At 34.6% G+C, this 17,164-nt stretch overlaps 1 protein-coding gene across 1 annotated transcript in view, besides 1 other annotated feature; it reads left to right on the forward strand.

The window, feature by feature from the left end:
- The window catches only part of DSG1 (desmoglein 1), a 41,087-nt gene continuing 24,920 nt past the window's right edge, over window positions 998–17,164 (forward strand). The window contains exons 1-8 of the mRNA NM_001942.4: window positions 998–1,186; window positions 9,419–9,454; window positions 9,712–9,843; window positions 11,027–11,182; window positions 12,730–12,874; window positions 14,539–14,705; window positions 16,427–16,561; window positions 16,855–17,040. Coding sequence (NP_001933.2) covers window positions 1,139–1,186; window positions 9,419–9,454; window positions 9,712–9,843; window positions 11,027–11,182; window positions 12,730–12,874; window positions 14,539–14,705; window positions 16,427–16,561; window positions 16,855–17,040 — 1,005 coding nt within the window. The 5' untranslated portion in view covers window positions 998–1,138. The remainder of the gene's footprint in view (window positions 1,187–9,418; window positions 9,455–9,711; window positions 9,844–11,026; window positions 11,183–12,729; window positions 12,875–14,538; window positions 14,706–16,426; window positions 16,562–16,854; window positions 17,041–17,164) is intronic.
- Window positions 12,581–13,103: an enhancer, noted in NCBI's record as "NANOG hESC enhancer chr18:28909706-28910228 (GRCh37/hg19 assembly coordinates)". NCBI's record gives its function as "activates a minimal SCP1, AML or CMV promoter by ChIP-STARR-seq in primed H9 embryonic stem cells {active_cell/tissue: H9 hESC(primed)}" and the evidence as "EXISTENCE:reporter gene assay evidence [ECO:0000049][PMID:30033119]".

The following is a 17,164-nucleotide window of genomic DNA, read 5'->3' on the forward strand; positions in this document are numbered from 1 at the left end:
AGAGAAGAGAGTCCAAAAATATGTCCAAATGCTGCCCTGTGAAGGTTGCTATTTATTTTCACAAACCTCAGGGCTGCATTCAGTTTCCCGTCTACCTGTGTAGGCAGCCATTTCTTCAGTGTATTCCCTATGTTCTAATTGGCTCGCTGTACAGATTCTTGGCTCTGTGCTTAGGAATTGTCATTGACTTTTAACCCACCTCACCTGCTGAGCAGCTTTCTGTGTTTTCATTAGTATTTCAGGCACCGAATCTCATTTTTAAAGTTATTATCAGGATTTTAATTGGTGGTTCTCACTATTCACCCTTAAGTTTAGTAATATTTAAATTTTTATTTTGTTGCATTTAATAAAAGAATCATAAAGAAAGAAAAATAATTAGGGAGAGAAAATAATTTCTTTAGAGGGAAAATGGAGGATTCCTTAGACTGAAGGCTGGTCAGTTAATGGGAATTGTGACTTATGCAGAGGATCTAATAATTGTAAGTATCATGGTTTTACTTGTTTGAATTAATAACTTTAAAAAATCTCAGTCTTGCATTAGCATATTTTCTGTCTCTTAACAACCGAAAATAACTGAAACTTTCCCAACATCTACTAAAATGGAAAGTTTGTCATTTTCTACTATGACCTGAGGGTTTGGCTACAAACAGATAATGGAATGAATAAGATGAGCATTCAAGTTATACCTGCCTGTTTAATATGGGGAGAAACTAAACCACCTGTAAAGAAAGCATGGGGTGAGAAGCCCCCATCACCTGTATAACCCTCGGTATTTCTGTTCACTTTAAGAGCCTGCCACTGAAAACATTCAGTAAAGGAGTGAATCTTCCTTGCCCCATCAAGAGTCGCTTTTCAGCTGGAGGAAGGGTGTGTCCCCAAGTTTTTACCTGGGAGCAATGATGATCTTGTCAAGCATTTCAGTGAGACCAGCCCAAGTTTTTAGGGTGGGGATCCAGACTGGTTATACGTACCTTCAGTCCTTCTCCCAGAGGAAGGCAGAAACACCTCAAAGCCTGCATGTAAGAACATCTACTGAGAAATTATTTTAATCAGACACCAGCTGAGTGGGAGAAAGAAAAAGAACAGAGAAGAACAAACAAAACTCCCTTGGTCTTGGATGTAAGAGAATCCAGCAGAGATGGACTGGAGTTTCTTCAGAGTAGTTGCAATGCTGTTCATTTTTCTGGTGAGTGGATTCTGGTAAAAGTCCTTCATAATCGTGCCCATTGTAAACAAGTGAAAACTTTTTAGAAAATGTTAGTGGGCATTATTTCTAACCTAAACCCATTGAAAATGTATATTAATGACAAGATGATTTTATGAACTAGATTTTTCAATAGCATTTCTCTCTTTAATTGAAGACTCAAGATCATGTTAATGCCTCAGTGTCAACTCATTGTATTACATCTCTGACACTGAAGTCATTGCTAAGTCATGCTGGGAAAAGACTGAATTTAGGAAATTCCTATCGCTAGTTAGTAGCACTTTGTCGTTCAAAATCTCTTCTGCAAGAGGGCTTTTAAACTAAATATCACAAGTGTGTCTGGATTTTTAACCTGTTTTTTTTTTTATTTTTTTTGTGTGTTTGGTGGTGGAATTACTCTAATTTTTAAAACATAAAAATAGCACCACATAATTTAAAATCGTAGCAGTTTGTGGCTGGTCTCGCTATCCAAATAAAGTCATCAGTTGCATATTTGGTTAGAATCTGTATCACTACTATAAAAAGCCCCGCACTATTTAACTATGATTTTATTTAAAACATTTTTAATTTCAAAAAACGGCAGTACAGGAGGTTTATAAATGACATATTAAGTGAAGAAGTGGCTATAATTAAAGAGTAAGTATAATTATTATTACACTCGATCTTACTACTGGAATGTCAGTGATGACTGCGATATAAAAGTTGTGCACTTGATCGTCTGACGAATGTAATGAAATACTTTATCATTGCCCCCTTACATGTAATTAGTTTTCTTGCTGTAGAGATAATACTAAGTGCACCACTAATGTATTATGTCAATTTCACTTTCAGTGAAAATTTGAAAATTGTAATCTCTCTCATAGTAAGGTTAATGTAATTCAAAAAGGCAGGTGCCAAGTAAATTGCCCTCCAGCTTGGCAGGATGTATAGTGCTGTGGTTCACATTTGTTTCTACTTGCTTAATTTTTGAACTGGAATGTTGGGTTGGTTGGTATAATAAGTTAGATCTTTGATTCAAAGTATGCTGGTTAGTTTGAATTCAGTTTTATTAACTAAGGCGGGACATAATCAGTGGATTTAGTTATAAATGAGCATCAGTAAGCTGGTGGCTTTGGTTCCAAGCTTTCCTTCAAACATTAGTCCTATCCCATGCTCTTTTCAGTGGATATTTAGGATCAGTTGATTTCATTACTTAGGATTTGGTAGGGATCACTGATCATTATACAGTATGTCATTTGAAATATGAGAGTTTCATATTGTCAGTAATCAAGCACTTTTACTTAAAATTTCAAATAAATTTGATCCATTAAGAGCTATTATAGTTTTAGTTGATCAGCTTGTTCAGATAGGTGTACACTAACTTTCATAGAATCTCTAAGATGTGCCTTATTTGTTGATTTATTTATTTCAAATTAATTATAGCATATCAAATTTCTTTAAACAGCCACTTCCTATTTAGTCATTCTTCAATAAAATGTATCATCATCAAAATCATATATCTTTATTGAACTTTCTCTAGCTGTGCCTAGATTTTTTTTTGTTGGCTTATGGGGGTTTTTTTGGGAATGGGGGAAGAGGAGGTTACCTTATTTTATATTGAAATTAATCACAAGTCTCCCACATGCCTTATGAAAATTTTTTCTCAAAGAACTTACACTATCATGAATTACAATGTTTCATTTTCACGTTGACATCATAGGTTTTTTTGGAAAACATTTCACTTTCTAAGGTTTGGAAGATCAAAATTTATTTTAAGTACAGATTTTACCACATGGGATAATTTTGGTAATTGTGCTTTGGAGTTTCCTAATCTGTATTTTTCTTTAAAATACTTTTTTTCTTCATAAAACAACCACCACTATAGCAAATTCTTTCAGTTATCTTTCTCCTAGTCTCATTATAAATGCATGCTTTTACCAAAAAATGAAAAAAAATTTATGTAAAGTCTTTATATTCGTCTCTACTCAAAGTCAATAAGCGGGAACCTGCATTAGGAAGCGTATTTGTACAATTGTTAAGGCCTTTAAGATATTTAAATTGGTAGTGTCTTTTAAGCAAATCTACCTGAGAACTGGGTAACTATTTGTTTGCAAGCATACTGTGTATTCATCTCAATGCATCTGAAGGTTGTGAACCTTGTTCAAATGAGTGGGTTGAATCAGGGAGAACAAAGCTGGAGGAGCTGCTCTTACAGCAATCAAGATCGCTCTATGGCTATTCCATTGTTCTGACAAGTCTCCTGGACAGGCAAGAGATTACACCTGCTATAACACTGCAAGTCAAACACATTTTGTTAATTCTGCATCTATTTTTCATTCTTCTTTTTGTTTCCATGTAATCAGTGTATGGAGTAGAGAAAGGAGTTAGAATGTATTTTCTCTAGGCCTGAGAACAATGCTTCTTATGCACCAAATAAAAGAAATCTATGTGCATGTATATGACAATGGTAAAAAGTACAGCATGGTCACTGTGGGAAAGCAAAACAGAGCCAGAGGGATCTCTATGGTTTTAATGATTTCTGAAAATTACTTGCAACTTTGCCAGGTCCAATTAGTCCATTTAAGTCAATACAAATCTGAAGATGTCTTTTTCTAAAAAGGTAAATTTCTGCAGCTCAAGCTCAAAGAACAGAGAAAATGACTTTTATCTATGACCATGAATGATCTGATTATTTTGGTTCATTATAGTAACCATTTTCCCCCTCTTTCTATGGGTTAATATTTCATTTCGAAACAAACAAACAAAAAAAAACCCAACCCTCTGACACCTGATAAACTAACTCCACAGTTTGAACCGAACTGAAATTCTGTAAAATATGAGCAGGAGTTTTTAAGAGTACTTTCATCACTCAGGCTAAAATACACAGAAAATAATACACATTTCATTACATAGTTCCTAAACTTACTTGAAGACATCTTAAGTCCCCAAAATTGTGTTCACAGATGCCTAAAGCAAGAGAAGAACTAACAAATTAGTACAGACCAAACAGAAGACAAGCAAAAGAGAGAGCTCTTTGTGCTTTCTTGAGCGTGTATTATAGTGATATGTAGTATAGAGATCAGTGTTTCAGTAAAATATTTTGTAGAAAATGGAAGGAATATTTCTGTTCACGTATTCAGTGAAACTTACAAATTGCATTCAAGTGTCATCATTAACAGTTATATGGTGTTCATAAAAGCTTTATTATTTCGCTGTAGATTTAGGATTAGCATCTTCTATCACCTTTACAGAAACAAGGAGTACACATTTATCATCGCTCAATTGGTTTGAGTTGCCACAAAGTAAAAACATTTTGTCATCCCTGTTTTAGGAAAAGAGTAGAAACTAAAGCACTGAAGAATGCTGTCTTAAATCTGAAAGGCTGACCCTAGAATAAGATTCACTTATTTAACAAATCTCATCAATCTAGAAAATTATCTTATCTATACCCAGAGCACTTAATTTCTGGTAACTCTTTCTCCACAACACATTCATCAAAGACCTGGTTGCTGAGTATCCCTGTGTCCTAATAGACATTGCCTAACATATCAGCAGGAAGCCTGCTGTGCCAGGCACCGCAATTAGATTTATAATGCTCCCTCATCTCAGGGAACACCCTTGCCCAGTGCTGGGTCATGCCACCCTTGCTGATTATGCTTGATATGCAAATTCCTTCAATAGACTTAGACAGATCAAATTTTTTTAAATGCCATTGGCTGCTGATCCATGCTCTTAATTGGTCTATGAGAATAGGCCACAGTTTTTCATACTCGTCTAATGAGAAATCATATCTCTACAAATTAATGGTTGCCTGTTGCTCTCAAAACTGCAAGACTGTAAGTTATTTGAAGGCAGGTTCTGTGTCTGATTTGCCTTTGTATCCCTTATGGTGCCTTGCACCAGTGCAAGATTGCTCAAAAGATGTCTAATCACACACAGCAGAGGTACCACAAGGAAGTTTCTGGATAGTTTATACAGCTCTTCCCCCACACACTCCAAAAAATTATCACGCTATTAAACATAGAAATAATAATACTGGATTTCCCCAACATTTTAATGGTGTAGTATTAAATTCATTTTACATTTCACCTGAGACTTACTATAATATTTTCAGGCCTTTAAAAGTCTTAATCTAGTGTTGGATCCACATAATACACATTCAGTATGTACTTGTAAAATACACAAACGAAAAGAATAAATTAGAGAATTCAACCCATTAAGGTGCTGTCAACCTCAGACTGATACCCTTTGTCAGAGCAGTACAAAGGAAAGATAAGAGGAGGTTTTTAAATAAAGCAAATTGTGATATTTTAGCTTTGTTTCAAGTGCATCCTTGCGATGTATATAAAAGTTAACAATTACATTAGAATTGAATGCTTAACAAAAACGTAACAATTATGTTAGAATTCAACGCTTAGCAAAAAGTGACTTGGAAGACCATCTCACAATTATTAAATGCAAGAGATTTTTTAAATAAAAATAGCTTGTTACTCTCAAACCCATTTTTATTATGTGCAAGGAAGCATGAACTTCAATATTAAAAAGGAAAACATTAAAAATTACTGTAATTGGGGATTTATTAAAATTAGCCTGTGATTTTGTCTCCTGTAGCTTTTAAAAAGTACATAAATGGATTGGTTCCTAAAACAGAAATGAAGGGGAAACTCATTGAGGATGTATTTCAGGTGAATTATTTACTGTTTTCATAGAATTTTAGGACTAGAGGGGACTTTTAGTCTCATATACAGCTGAGGAAACTGAGCACAGATTGATTTAATGACTTACCCCAAAGTCCCTATCCACTGGGCAAAACAGCTGAGATATACTCAGTCAGCCTGATAACCTCTGTGTTCATCTCTAGGTAAATCTCCATCACAGCCTCCATAGCACAGACTCCAAACTCATTTGGGAATCCAAACTTCTCCCCTAATTGTCAGAAAATAACCTCACCCTTACTCCAGGGACAAGGTCTAGGTCATTTAGGAGAGTGTCCTCCAATTTCCCTTCCCCAGTTTATTGATTTTAATCTCCATCCACCTCACCCTTACTCCAGGGACAAAGTCTAGGTCATTTAGTACAATGTCTTCCAATTTCCCTTTCCTAATTGATCGATTTTAATCTCTATCTTTCCTTGCCTTTGTCTTTGAGGTCCTTTCTTTTTCTGCCCATTCTCTCCTGCTCTCCCTATCACAACACTTCTATGAGAATCTTCCTGCTGAACATCTCTTCTTTTAAATCAAAATCTCCTCCTAGCTTCTATCTTAACTTTCAAAAATCCTTAGGTTACCCTCTCTCAAAAAAAAATGCTACTATCTTGTCCCTCTGTTCCCTTTTATCACCAATGTCTTGAAAAAGTGACCATCTTTATGTCCTCCTCTCCTCCTCTCATTTCCTAATCCCTTGCTGTCAAGCAAGTGCATGTTCCATCCAGCTAAAAATATTCTCTTGAAGGTCCCTCAGAACCTCAGGATTTCCTCAGAATTCACTCTGCTCAACTTTTTTACCTCATCTCTTTCAACCCCATCTGTCTTTCCGTTTTCCTTTTCCTCTGACCTCCATTATAATGCATTATATTTTCCTATTGTTTCTTTCGCCATTCCTTCTCTCTTTCGCCACTCCTTCTCTCCTTCCTTTTTTTTTTTTTTTTTTTTTTCTTTTTTTGAGACAAAGTCTTGCTCTGTCCCCAGGAGTGCAGTGGTGCAATCTCGGCTCACTGCAACCTCCGCCTCCTGGGTTCCATTGATTCTCCTGCCTCAGCCTCCCAAGTAGCTGGGACTACAGGCACGCACCACGACGCCCAGCTAATTTTTGTATTTTTAGTGGAGACGGGGTTTCACCATGTTGGCCAGGATGTTCTCAGTCTCCTGACCTCGTGATCCACCCGCCTCGGCCTCCCAAAGTGCTGGGATTACAGGCGTGAGCCACAGCGCCCGGCCCTCTCCTTCCTTTTTTTTTTTTTTGTTTGTTTGTTGTCGTTGTTCCTAGTTCTATAAATGTAGGAACTCTTCTAGTTTTATCCTCAATTGCAGGCTGATTCTTGACTGTATCCTCTACTTTGGAAATTTCAAATTCTCACGATTTCAACTATCCTGCCTGAGCAGATCTACCTCAAATCTACATATCCAGCTTGAACTTTTGCTCAAGTTTTGATCCATGTTTCCAATTGCTGATCATCTTCACCCAGGCATTATCTGGCATCTCAAACTCAATGTGTTCTAATCTGCTAAATTCTATTACTGTCTTGTTCCCAATCCCACAGTTTAAAACTGCCATCCCCTGAGCTTCCTCCCTCTCTCGAACACCCCCATCCCATTTGTTCTCAAGCCCTGCCAATGCTATGCTGCAGTATCCCTTGATCTTTCCCCATCCATTCCCTCTGTCTCTGCTCCAGCGTACCTCCTTCTCACCTCCAGTCTGCTTTGATACAGAGACCCTCAACTGCTCACCGTCTGTAATCACTGCCTCTTCCCACTAGTCCTACCAACTGTTGTCAGAGTTAGCTTTAAAACCACAATTTTATCATGCTCTTCTCACATCTAAATACTTCAATATTTTCCTACTGCACACAGGCATTTAATATTACAGCTGGAAAGTTACCTGTATAAAATTTAGTCTACTCTTGTCATTTTACAAGTGAGAAAACTAAAGTTCAGAGAATTGGGGAAATACGTTGAAGATTTTCCAACTCTATCAAGAGTCAGATTTCACTATTTTGCCTTTGAAAGTCCAAGAGTGACTTTGTATCAGAGTTTATTCTAGACTCTGAGCAACAGAAAATAAGCTTACACCAACCCACCACATTTTTAAGCAGACTTGGCGGTTTTTAGATTACAAATCCAGTTGAGAGTCTGACTGTATGGTGAAAGCTACTTGGTCTTCTGCCCAAATTGTCTCTCATGGGAAAAAGAGTGACCCAGCTTCATAAAGCTGGAAAGATTTCTTAGTCATCTGCATAGCTTTCCAAAACAAACAGCAAGCACTGGCGCTCCAATGCAGTAAGGGAAGCGCAATAACAGATAACAGATCCATGCACAATTCTGTAGCTATGAAGAAATGGCTTTCAAACACACAAATAAGGTATGCCCATCTCCCATCCCACACTCACAAACAAGAGAGAGGGAAAAGTGTTCATAAATTCACAGGCAGCAAGGAGCATGCATTTACATGAACACCATTTCATCATTTCAGTTCTGCACCCAAGATGGGCTCTACAGATAACATTTCAGTTACATGTTTTAAAATTTGGGCCATTTACTTTTCTTTTTTTTTTCTTCATGCTGTATTCCTATTGTCGTATGTAAATATCACCAATCACAAGGATAATAGGTTAGTTTAAAATCAGAATTTTTTGAGTTCTTGAAGTTGCAATATAAATTCTTTGTAGCATGCTTTTCTTAGTAGTAATTTACTTGAGGGAATAGGCTATCTCATATTTTATTGTAAAACCCACAGCTCAAGTGAAAATTTATGCTAAATTGTATTGAATTATATTTAGCCATAGGTTAATATCCAAGACTCAATTTCCTCATCTGTAAAATGGAGATAGTATTAGTGGTGACCACATGTATTTGTTGTAAAGATTAAGTGCATAGATTTACATAAATACATAACCTAATACCTAGCTATTATTTAACAAATTATAAGAGTAATAACAATCATAATTATTAATATTAGATACACAATGGATATGTAATTCTCATAATAAAAACATTATCTTTTTATACTTCTCATATTGATCATAAATACTTATTTTCTGAATTATCTATTGTGGCAATTTTTTTAAAGTAGATACTTAGAGACATTAAGTTCATATTTTCTTTAATGCTACAATTAAAATTAACTATAAAAAGAACTTTTTTATATTTTTAAATTACTACTGTTAGTATTTTTAAATGTAAACTATAATTTTCTTATATCAGTTATACAAATAAAGTTTTCATACTTTGCAATTCTGAATAAATTCAATTAAAAGTTAAAAATTTCTTATTTAGGGAGAAATACAAGTACAAAATAATAGTAATAAAAAGAAGAGTAAATTGAAAGGTAAAAACAAAAATTCTTAGCATCATCATCAGACCCAAGACATAAACCAAATCCACCTGCTATTTGGCTGATAAAATAATTTTAATGACTCACAAGCCTATGGTTTCATGTTGTTTTTAAAGTAACTGGATAATATAAATTTTAAAGCATTTAATTAAAAAATAACTAGTGTGATTATCTTATTTTTTACAGGTGGTGGTAGAAGTTAACAGTGAATTCCGAATCCAGGTAATATATAACAAATCCATTTTTCCAAATTTTTAAACAAGAAAATAATTTGAGAATAACAATATGTTTTCTGAAGAAAATGTATTCTCATAAGTCAAGTTCATATAATGCTAAAATTAATAGATTACCAAAATTACCAATTTTCCCAATTAAACATCCTCTATTTCTGAGATTATAACCTCTTCCAAAAATCTCAGTGGAATTTGAATTACGAATTCAAATTAATATATACCATTTCTTTATTGCTGTCATTTAAGGTAAGAGATTATAACACTAAAAATGGCACCATCAAATGGCATTCAATCCGAAGGCAGAAACGTGAATGGATCAAGTTCGCAGCAGCCTGTCGTGAAGGTGAAGACAACTCAAAGAGGAACCCAATCGCCAAAGTAGGTATCAACTCCAAAGCATAACATTGAAAATCAGAATGGATAAAGTTTCAAAAGAAACTGTCTGCTAAATATTTCATGAACATGTCTCACCGAGAAGCTACGATACAGAACAGAACTATAGTCACCTAGATGATGAAAACTGAAACTCATAAGGAGAAATTAAGAAATGCAGGTGCTCAGAGAAACAGGCAAACGTTGACTCACCTCATTGGTGAAATGCATACACATGATCATGTGTTATCCCAAACTCCAGATGAAAAAAGATCATTATTTTAATAAAGAATTTGGCTTTCAGCACATTCAAAGGAATTACTTCAATGTGTGCTCTTTTTGCCTCACAATGTATTAGAATTGAATTCCTACTTTTTTGTTTGTTTATTAACATTCACAAGGTGCCCTCTCTCATACCCCTTTTCTATTCATTTTTCCATATCTTCCTTTCTACATACACACACACTCAGAAACACCCCCCACAAATTCATGAACATACAGATGTACACGTCCACAGATACACACACGAATATACACATTCATCCACACAGACACTCACAAATACTCCCCACTAGGATTTGTTTACAGCCAAACAATATTTTATTTCAAAGAAAGAGTTCTGGTTTCTATAACCATTTATTCGCGTGGTCTCCTTCCTTTTCTGCTAATACACCCTTCCCATTTTCAGAATTCAGAGCTTCCACTCAAACCCAGATAACTCTTGTCACCTAAATAAATCTACTTTCTTCGAAAACTTTACATTTAAAACAAATTGAAGATTAAAGTTGCATGATGACAACATTGATAAACTCCTTAAGAGGGCAAAGAGTTTCCTTCTGTAGCTCCAGTGCAAGCACAGACCCTGCAAATAATACAAGATCAAATTTTAACTGTTGAATGAATGAAGTCATGCATGATGATTGCATAGACTTAGATATAGTAGGGTGATATTTCGCATTTTTTCATGTTTCATAGAAGCAGAAACCGAATTTCTTTGATTACATTGTCAGTTACCATTGAAAATATTAGAGCTGTAATTGTTACTCTTATCTAGGAAAATAATCTCCATTGACAACATTTCCTAAATAACAAGGTCATCACATGCAACAACTCTCAAGAAAGCTGTCGTATATCAAATATAGAACTCTATTTGCTCCCTCTAATATTTTTACTTGTGTTCCTTCTGCAGATTCACTCAGATTGTGCTGCAAACCAGCAAGTTACATACCGCATCTCTGGAGTAGGAATTGATCAGCCACCATATGGGATCTTTGTCATTAATCAGAAAACTGGTGAAATTAATATAACATCCATAGTTGATCGAGAGGTCACTCCTTTCTTCATTGTAAGTGGACTTCATGTCAATATATATGTTCATGCTTAAATTCTTCTCAGAAGTTCTTAATCTCAGATCATACTTAATTTGATTTCAAGAGTCTCAATATTTGGCATTTTTGGTTGTTTCTTAATTCACGAGCATCCCACGACTGAAAAGAAATGCAAAGATTAAGAGAGAAGGAAATGTTTCACTTAAGTGTCAGCAAAAATGCTAACCTCTATACTGTCCTCATTGGCAAACTAGAGTATTTGTTTGGAAGGACAATTACCTAACTTTTTAATTTTTCCTTTTTTAAAAAATTCAGTAAAGAATGTTACCTTATTTTAAGTCTAATGTCAAGTAATGATTCTAGAGCTACTGCAGGACTGTTTTCTGAGCAAATATACTTTATTATAAATTCAGTAAAGAATGTTACCTTATTTTAGGTCTAATGACAAGTAAATGATTCTAGAGCTACTGCAGGACTGTTTTCTGAGCAAATATACTTTACTATAAATTCATATTCCTCAAGCTCACCTGAGCTCCAAATGCACCTTGAAAATGCATCCATTCTTAAGTGAATCTCACTCCATTCTTTACAGGAGCTGTCACATAGCTTAAGTATCCTATCTCTTCAAACCCTCAACCTCATTTCCACTTTAAGCAGTTGACCTTGTGACCAACTTTATGAAAAAGGCTGAGGCCATCCATCACAAACTCCCATAATTATTTCTCACTCGCCCAGCTCAGAAATGTTCTTCATTAAATCAAAAGCAGGATCAATTGTTTGCTTTTTCTCACAGCATATTCCAAGACATTTCCATGGTCCTATAATTGCCACTTACTTGGAGAATCATTCCATCACCTCTGTTTTCTGTCTCCCTTCTGCTGGCTCCTTGGCTACTCCCATTTCTCTCTATCGTCATGGCCAACACTTCTTAATATTAAAAATAGAAATAAAGAAACCCTATTTTGCTCCTGTTACCTCTTCTATTAAAACCCCACCAGTCCGTATCCCAAAATACCTTCAAATAATAATCGATATTTGCAGTTTTCACTCACACCGCCTGCCTGTATTCCTCACACAACTTTAATTCTTTAGCCTTCAATTCCAAATCTCTATTTCTCCCTTCTGTCCCACAATGATCCCCCACAAACTTTAAAAAGGCATGCTACCCTGTTAGCTTTTCTTGGGGCATAATGCATTTTTTTACGTCTTTATTTTTTTTTAGAGACAGGGTCTCATTATATTGCCCAGGCTAGTATCATAATGCCTTTATATATGAAATATGCCATTTTGTAAAATAGTACACATTACACTTAGGGACGCTTCAAATACAAATAATAATAGTAATAATAATAATCATAATAATAATATAAACCCCCATGTAGCTACTACCTAGCTTAAGAATGCCACATTTGCTTTCCCTTAGTGACTGTAAGTAGGGCTTGTGCCTATGTTCTAAGTAGACATAATAATTCTTTTAATTCGCCACAGTGCTAGCATAATGCTCAAAGTAAGAACTTAATAAATCTGTGTTTCACTGTATAATTATTTATCTTTTCTCTCCCAGATCTACTGCCGAGCTCTGAACTCAATGGGCCAAGATTTAGAGAGGCCTCTAGAGCTCAGAGTCAGGGTTTTGGATATAAATGACAACCCTCCAGTGTTTTCAATGGCTACATTTGCAGGACAAATAGAAGAAAATTCTAATGCAAGTAAGTAATGTAGTGGCTTCCAAATCACTCCTAACAGCCAGGCACCTAACTGGAGACTAAACTATGTCAAAGTACACATCATGAATGTAAGAGATAAACTATAGAAAAGATGCAGAATAGCAAGTCTTTCCTTTCAACTACGGAAGCAGCTCCAAACTGAGGGACACAAGGCGTGATTCCAAAGCAATGAGGAGGATTTTTCTCACATAACTCGCAGGCCAGCCCTGTAGAAGAGTCCTAACAAGAAATTTTAAAGGCATTTTGCACAATGGTGGCAGAGGCATCGGGATGTGAATTTAGCCTCCCAGTCTAACTGTGTAGAAGGACAATCCCACCCTTTTCTGCTCTTACTGCGTTTTTTCCCCTTTTTTAAAGTTAGCTACTTTAAAATCACTTATAGAAATCACTTCCACACAAAACTTCTTTTTGTGATTTAACCTTTAAGTGATAAAATTTCTTGTGAATTCCAAAAATCCCTACACTTTACTTTTATTCATTAAAATACTGTACCTATACTTTCAACTTTTAAAAGTGTTATTATAAAATGCTCATTAAATTTATGTAATATGGAAAGTAAAAGGGAACAAAAATCTGCTGTCTGCATTTCCTAGTACCATTCTTCAGAGGTATGCACTGTGTACATGCGCTCCATAATTATGTAAACATAAATCACATGTTTTTTAACATAAATGGTATCATCTGTTACATGCTAATCCACAACATGAATTTTTATATAAATATATTTTGAACATATTTCCATATCAGGACACATAATTGTTTCACTGCTTTCAATAGTTGCATGGAATTTAATTATATAAATTACATAAGTGTATATAAATGTTAATTATCTAGTGAAAACATTTTAAAGGTTATGCTACAATAAATACAGGTGGGGGATGACAGATGCCATGAAGCATTTGTAGGAAAATTGTATTTAAAATGGAGTTGGAGAGTAGAGAACAATTCCAAAGTTATGAATGAGCACTGGCAGTTTTCCACATTCTCCAATAATCTAATAATCTTCATCAAAACTACTTATAAAATTAATGAAAAGATAAGAGACAGGACAATATGTGTAGTTAAGCAAGCATTTCTTTAGATCTACTAATTACCTTGCACTTGACGAAGGATCACCCAAAACAAAACAGTAGTAATGTATATTTATCAAACGTGCATTATTCATTAGGAACTTTATATAGTTTTCTCTTATTAATGATTTAATTCTCACATGAATTCAGTAAGGATGGCAGTAATATCATCCCCATTTATAGATATAAAAATTGAGGCCAAGATCATATAGCTAGAAAGTGTTGAGAAAGTTGGGAAAATGTTGGTCTGGCCTTATTATCATTTTGTTTCGCCACAGCATCCTTTAAAAAAGAAGAAAATATGCTAGAAGAAGAAATAGAAAGCCAGAATAACACATTTCCTTTGTTTCCCAGTTATCAACAATGTCTAGATTCCTAGTAAAATGTGATCTTCTTGTTAGGCAAAGATATAGAAAAGAGCTAAGATATCCATATGTTGAAGGAGTAGAAAGGGAAGACAGTGAAGTCCACATCATAAGGATCAACTAACTCTAACACTTTTTTGGAAAGGTGATATACTCTACTGTAACAAAAATGTAAATCACCCATTTGCAATCAATTTTCCTTAATTTCTAGATACACTGGTGATGATACTCAATGCTACTGACGCAGATGAACCGAACAATTTGAACTCAAAAATAGCCTTCAAGATTATAAGACAAGAACCTTCAGATTCACCAATGTTTATTATCAACAGAAATACTGGAGAAATTCGAACGATGAATAATTTTCTAGACAGAGAGGTAATTCTTTTTCTTTAAGTGGGTTTTTGGTCTCAAAGGAACTGATTCTAAAAGCAAGGATACTGAAGAGACAAAGAGATGAAGAAAATGATGGTTTAAATTTTTACTTGTATAACTTTTTCACATAATTCTTTCATGTAAGAAATATTTTTTAAATGAAAAAGGGAGGATTTTTCAATTACGTTTTGTACTATTTTTCATATAATTAATTGATTAAAATTTACTTCAATTTAAGAAAACTATATTGTGAAAGTACATGAAAATATGCCTAAGGTAGAATCTAAGGTAGAATCAAAAGCTCCATTTCTCTAAAAAGTGTGTTCTATAATAAAATGAATTTAGGAATGACTTGCTATATGTCCACGTTTTGGTGAGTTACAGTGCATGCGAGTATGCTGGAGGCTCCAGGAATATTGATACACTAAGTTCTCTTTCTTTAACCTAGCATATCTAAGCTCCATTGACAACAGAATTCTTGTTTTTCCTATGTAACATCTATTGATAGCTCACCCATTCATTTACTTTGGGAAATGAACCACAGGATAAGAATGATGGATAGGAATTAAATGACAGACTGACCAATCTTTTTATTTACAAATAAGAAAATAACTAGTGATGTTAACAGAGTAAAATCAGCATTATGAGGTTTCTAGCATGCCTTGTGATTTTATGATTTAGTTTTAAAATAAGTGCTTTTTCATTATTTAAAAAAAATTGTCTTTTAATAGAATGTTGCAACCTAAATGTACATTAGGAGCATAAGTGAGGAAGCTTTATTTTCTGATGGTATTCAATTAATTTTGTTTTAATTATTAAAAATGACAATCTTCTTGCTGATGACTTTTAGGTTTAGGATAATTCATATTATTTTAATACTCTTTAATTATCTAAATGTTACAAGTTTCTATGTTACCTAAGTCTCCTTTTATACATGTTTGAAAATCAACATTAGAAGAAATTGAATGTTTACACTTTTCTCTCTCAAACTGTCTTAAACAGCCCAATGAGGTTTCTTTCATGTCAAAAGAGCTTTCGTGGTAAAGCACTGTAAGAAAGGGCTGTCAGAAGGAAAGGGACTCTGCAGCCATTGGGAAGCCACCAGGGCAGATATTCTCAACCTGGGGTCAATGGAGAGACCTCAAGATGTCTCTATAAAACCCCCTAAATTATATCCACCATTTTGAATGAGTGTGCATTTTTGCATGAGTCAAGGAAAGCCTCCATAGATTTTACCAGCTTCTAGAAATATAAGCACCATTGAATAGAGTCAAGAATAGATACATCACCAATAATTCCACTGCCATAACCCACTACCTCTCAAAACACAAAGCTTTGTTATCTGTTTATATGCTTCTTGCACACTCGGGGGCTGATTATTTAGGTTATGGAATATTCATGCCATAAATTTTTGGTAAACTTAATCTCTCTCCTTGAGATCATTCTGGTTTGTTTTACCCTTTATAAACTTTTTCAACCTCTGGACATATTATTATTAATAAGAAATGAAGCCTTTTAAAACGTGTTGCATCTTTTAAATAATGCGTGATAAGTATTATTGGGAATAATCATGTGAAACTTGTGGATTTCCCATATTCTGTGTTAACCCTACCTCTATCATAGATTTATGTAAACGTTGAGCCAACTTTTCAAAGAACTTTACATAAGACAAAGTAAAGGCTGTCTACGTCAAGTGTGATATTGCCTGTAATATGTATTTTTAGCAATACGGCCAGTATGCTCTTGCTGTAAGAGGCTCTGACCGAGATGGCGGGGCAGATGGCATGTCAGCGGAATGTGAGTGCAACATTAAAATCCTCGATGTCAATGATAATATCCCTTACATGGAACAGTCTTCAGTAAGTATTTGTTCTTGGAATTAATAAATCTAAATTCGCTATATTCTAAAACATATACGAACAATTCTGCTTACAGAGGCACATGTTATGTTTATTGACATACAACCCAAATGTAGACACATACTTTTTTCTTGTGTTTATGCAAGAATAAATGGAGTTAAGCAATGAAAAATGAGATGAAAACCACAGATATCTTTTCTAAATAATGAAGTTATCAACATTCCAGTATAAGCCTACTGTAGTTCTCTCTCTTTCACACAGTTTGTGCTAAGAGTTTTCACTTCTTGTTTCAGTATACCATAGAAATTCAAGAAAATACTCTAAATTCAAATTTGCTCGAGATTAGAGTAATTGATTTGGATGAAGAGTTCTCAGCTAACTGGATGGCAGTAATTTTCTTTATCTCTGGAAATGAAGGAAATTGGTTTGAGATAGAAATGAATGAAAGAACAAATGTGGGAATTTTAAAGGTTGTTAAGGTATGGTATAATTATCCTAAATATTTTGTTTTCTTAATCTTTTTTCAAAATGTTAAACTTAAAATAAAATGATGCTAACATTTCACAAACTTGGCTTAGTGAAAGAATAAAAATTACTGTGTTT

This window comes from Homo sapiens, chromosome 18, assembly GCF_000001405.40.
Source record: "Homo sapiens chromosome 18, GRCh38.p14 Primary Assembly".
Lineage (NCBI taxonomy): Eukaryota > Metazoa > Chordata > Mammalia > Primates > Hominidae > Homo > Homo sapiens.